Raw genomic sequence first — 4,837 nt, 5'->3', positions numbered from 1 at the left:
GCCTTGTCTAGACAGCAAGTGTGTCAGCTACTGCCAGGTCTGAGCCGACTGTGTATGTGTGGATGTGTGTGTGTGCATAGGCATTGTGGGCACATGTATGTATGTGTGTGCATGTGTGTGTGCATTTGCATGTGGGCACATGTGTGTACATGTGTGCAAGTGTGTGGATATGCATGTGTGCACATGTGTGTATGTATGTGTCTGGGTGTGCACGTGAGTGTTCCTGTGTGTGTGGAGAGTAATTCTGCTAATTACCACACTCCCCAGATGCCCACATGCACAGATGGAGGTGAAGAGACATGATGCAACCGGTCTGCCTTCCCCGAAGCTTCTCCCTGATCCTGACCCCAGCTTCCCCATACAGCTCTCAGAGGAAGATAACTGGGAGGCACCTTCAGGATGTGGAGGGTCTTGGCCGGAAGTACCCACAAGGGAGTTGGCTCTCACGCTGGCCGCCCTGCCACTCCCCAGCTGAGATCTTGATCCTGAATCTCCAGCCTCCAGTGCCAATCCCTGAGCCCCTCTTCTCCAACTCAGAAAATGGCACTATAGGCATCCAGGTGGCCAAGGCCCAAAGCCAGGGTGTCCTCCCGGGCTTGCCTGAGGGCACCATCTGCTGTGGAGGAGAGGAGAGGCCAGGAGAAGAGAAGCATGGGCCAGGCAGAAATGGGTTGTTTCTGCGCCGTTTATAGGTGTTAAGTCAACACTCGAAGACCTCCAATCCCATCTGACAAGTTATATTTGCCCAGCCTGCCGGAGTGCTAATCGTTGCTGTAAAAACATCCCACCTTTGGCTACTGAATATTTACATTGTAAAATCCAAGTCGAATCACAATAAAGAGGCATCCTTTCCCCCACACTTTTGTTACACTGGAAGAGGAAAGATACTTGAATCAGAGGCACAGGGATTTAAACAGCTGTTTTCATGTCATCATTGCTGCATTCATTGAAAAACATTGGCTGAGGACCTACTAGGTGCAGGCCAATGCTCAGCACTGGGATTGAGCAGCAAAAGAGACAATTCTGCCAATTCGGAGCCCACGGTTTTGGAGGAAAGACAGAAGTCATATGGGAATTAGAGTAGGAAGCATGCCACCTCCATAGGCCTGAGCTCGTGGGGCAGAGGCTGGGTGGATAGGGACATATAAGGAGATCATTTGACCTCTCTGGGCCTCTGTATGTTGCTGAGCCCTGGTGAGGATGAGCAATCCTCGCACCAAGGTCTGGCTGTGGTGTCCACGTGCCTCACCCTCTCCAAGCACCTCTGACGTCAGCGGCAGTGGCTGGCTCTTGCCAGCTCAGACTCCACATGCCCCACCCCAAGTGCATGGGCATCCTCTGCTTCACAGCCTTCTCAGAAGCCAGGGGAGCCTTCTCCGCCACACCCAGGTATGGTCCAGAAGCATGAGCCAGTCAATCAATGGGGGAAGCCAGCTGACAGACTGATGCTGTAAAAACAGCCCACATTTGCCTACTGAATATTTATATTGTAAAGTCCAAGTAGAGTCACGATAAAGAGGCATCCTTTTCCCCACACTCCCATTATACTGGAAGAAGAAAGATACTTGAATCAGAGGCACAGGAGCACACACCCTCTGCGTTCAGGTGGACAACTTCTGTTTGCTTCTCCGGGGTCCCAGGGAACTGAGCCATCTGTGCCTTGGTAACACAGCCTTGTGTTGCTGTCTCCTCCTTCCTTGTCTCAATGGGGATTCCCTGCTCCCTGGGGTCACTTCAGGCTCTGCTTTCTGTAGAATCCAGACAGCTCCTGACCCAGCACTGGTGTCTCCTGGCGGTTGGTGCCATAGGCTGCATGTCTGTGCTCCCCCCACACATTCCAATGTTGAAGCCCTAACCCCTAACATAAGGATACTTAGAGGTGGGGCCTTTGATTGGTATTTAGGTCATGAGCATGCAGCCTTCATGAATGGGGTTATAAAAAGAGACATGAGAATTTGCTTTCTCTCTCTCTGCCATGTAAGGACAGTGAGAAGGTGCATCTCCAATTAGGAACCCTCCAGTCCTCACCAGACACTGGATCTGCTGATGTCTTCATTGTGGACTTCTCAGCCCCCAGACCTGTGAGTAATTAAAATTTGTCACTTAAGCCACCCAGTCTAGGGTATGTTTGTTATAGCAGCTGAACTGACTAAGACATTTGGTAAAGAAAGAATCAAAATGGCAATGAGGAAGAACATTGTGTATCAAGGATATAAAACCAGTTTAGCAAAAAGAAATGAAGGCGACCAGTGACAGGGGCTTATCTGGCTGAAGTAGGATCAGTGTTGGGTCCAATTTTATTTGGCATTTTCTTAAATCTCACTCCTCTCCTGTCATCATACAACTTAGGAAACCTTAATAGTCCTCATTAGCCAGGCCACCCTCTAATTACAGAGCCAGGGCAAGCTCTCTAATTCTGTTTCATTGTAGGTAAAATTGGGAATTCCAGTTCCGAAATCCTTTGATGCCTCTTTTCAGCTCAAGGTAGTGACCCGAACACATGCATTTAGACCCCCACCTTCCTATCCCCAGTAATGTAACAATATAGCAATATAGCAAAGATATCAATCAGCCATCAGCCCAGCTTGGCTCCTGGGGACACGAATGTGAGCTTCCCAGCTGGAAAAGGAGTCTAGAGTCTAAAGACATATACTTTCCAACCACTGGGTCTCTAAAAACAAGCCCATGCTGCATTTGATGCTCAGCAGAAGACACTGTAGGTAGTAGGCAGGTTCAGTGATTTTCAAGGGTCATAGTTACCCTACTTGATTTTGCCTTTGGTGCCCATCTATACAAATTAACAGCTGGGCCATGTGCTTATCCACACTTGGGCAAGGAGCCCCATGGAGCCCAGCTCATACCAGAGAGCATGAAGCGTATGAGGACAGCAGAATTTGGGGCAGTCGCCTGTGGTGGAAGATAAGGGGCACTGCTGTTCACACTGAACAGGGACCCGAGTGGGTGTCATACAGCAGGGCTGGGAGGGAGCATCTACCATGAATCCCAGCTCAGCTATTGCGGGATGGGAGGCAGGAAGTGAGTTCAAGAAGGACATCTTCAGAAATGTGGACAGGGAATGGAGGAAGTTTCTGTTGACCCACATCAGCACTGGGGAATTCCTGTCTCCAGCGGTGTTTCTTCCCAGGAACAGGGAAGGGCTGGCTCAATGGCTGAACCTGTGGACTTTATCCCCACCAGCTGTTCCCTCCCTCCCACCTCTTCCCTGCTGGGAGAACCCACCTTCCCAGACTGAGACTGAAGCAGTCACTCTTCACAGCTGAGAGAGGCCCGATGACCCAGTCCTGTCCAAAGGGATGTGAGGGGGTATGGCAGAGTCCACCAGGTCCCTCTTACATTTATATGTCTCTATTTGGTTTCTGAGTTAGTGTGGCCAGATAAAATACAGGATGCACAATTTAATTTGAATTTCAGAGAAACGGTGAATACTTTTTTAGTATAAGTATGTCACAAATATTGTATGGGACGTACTTATGCTAAAAATGACTTGTTATTGATTTAAAATTCAAATTTAACTGAGAATACTGTATTATACACTTGCTACATTTGACAACTCTTTCTGAATGCTTTTGACCTTTGCCTGCAATTGCTTTCCCTTGGGCTAGAAGTATCTGGGAGTTTATAATCCCTAGGATGGCCCATGGTTAATGACTAAAGAGTGCAGGAGTTTGGGGCCCAGGAGGTGGCACAGGCTCCGAAGCATGATTCACGCTGCAGAGGTCCCACAGGATCAGGCTGAGCTGACTCTGCATGGAATCTTGTGCTTGCTTCCCTTCTTCCCCTCCATCATAGGAGCACCTTCTTAATAATCCTGCAAGGAGCCCTCGTCCCTGCATTCTCCTGGAGGAACTGACCTAAGACAGGGAGCTTCTGTGAAAAAATATTTTCCCTGACAAAATGAAGGAGGCTTCGTGAGCAGTTCTGCTCACACACTTTGTCAGGAGGAGGGATGTGTGGGTCCTGGCAGCCATCTCATGGTCATGACCAACGGCATCACTGTCCCTGAGGGGATAGCAGGGAAGGAATGGAAGGCTCTGCATCAGGAATGGAAGGCTCTGCATCCTTAATCAAGCTGCTGATCCCTGGGCCCATCCTGGAAGCACCCAGCTTCAGGTGTCTTCTGAAGGGAGAATAATAATCTCCTGTTACTCAGTCCAATTTCATCATATGTTCTGTTACTTGCTGCTATAAGCACCCCCAGCTGACTCCACTGGAATGTGGTGGCATCAAGCTCCAAGTCCAGGAAGACATAGGGTATACCTAGGTGCACTGAGCTGCAGACTCATGACAGGGTGATGGATCCAGTCAGCCCCATCAGCACAGAGGGTTCTACTTGGCTCAAGAATGCGATGCCCTGCCTCAGGCTGATGTTGCTTTCATTATTGCCAGAGACAACCAGACCATCAGTCTGACCAAGTAAAGGCAAAAATACATCAAAACACCAACCCCTTCCCCTCAAATTTGGTCTGCAAAGCTCTGAAAGTTTACCGTGAATGCAGCTCCTTTCTGAAAACTGGACAACTATAGACAGCATCCCTACTCCCTTCCTCCCCATCTGTCAGGATGAGCAAACAGAGAAAAAAATAGCCAGTTATACAACAAAACCCAGAAGTTCACAAGACAGGAACTGATCTGAGAACAGGAGAGAATATAGCTTGATGAAACAGGCTTGCTGCAAGAAACAGGAGAAAATATTACAAAAATCCTTTCATTGTAATTCACATAAGATTCTCAACATCATCAGGCCTATGAAAGGAGAGCAATGCTATGGACTGAATTTTGCCCCCTCCCCAAAATTCCTATGGTGAAGCTCAGTGCA

General features: G+C 48.7%; 1 annotated feature.

Annotated features, from left to right (window-relative positions):
• Positions 649-1,148: an enhancer, noted in NCBI's record as "H3K27ac hESC enhancer chr20:56496341-56496840 (GRCh37/hg19 assembly coordinates)". NCBI's record gives its function as "activates a minimal SCP1, AML or CMV promoter by ChIP-STARR-seq in naive H9 embryonic stem cells {active_cell/tissue: H9 hESC(naive)}" and the evidence as "EXISTENCE:reporter gene assay evidence [ECO:0000049][PMID:30033119]".

This window comes from Homo sapiens, chromosome 20, assembly GCF_000001405.40.
Source record: "Homo sapiens chromosome 20, GRCh38.p14 Primary Assembly".
NCBI classification, from domain to species: Eukaryota; Metazoa; Chordata; class Mammalia; order Primates; family Hominidae; genus Homo; species Homo sapiens.
Note: the sequence above shows the minus strand (reverse complement) of the source record. Positions and strands in the feature narration are given on the sequence as shown.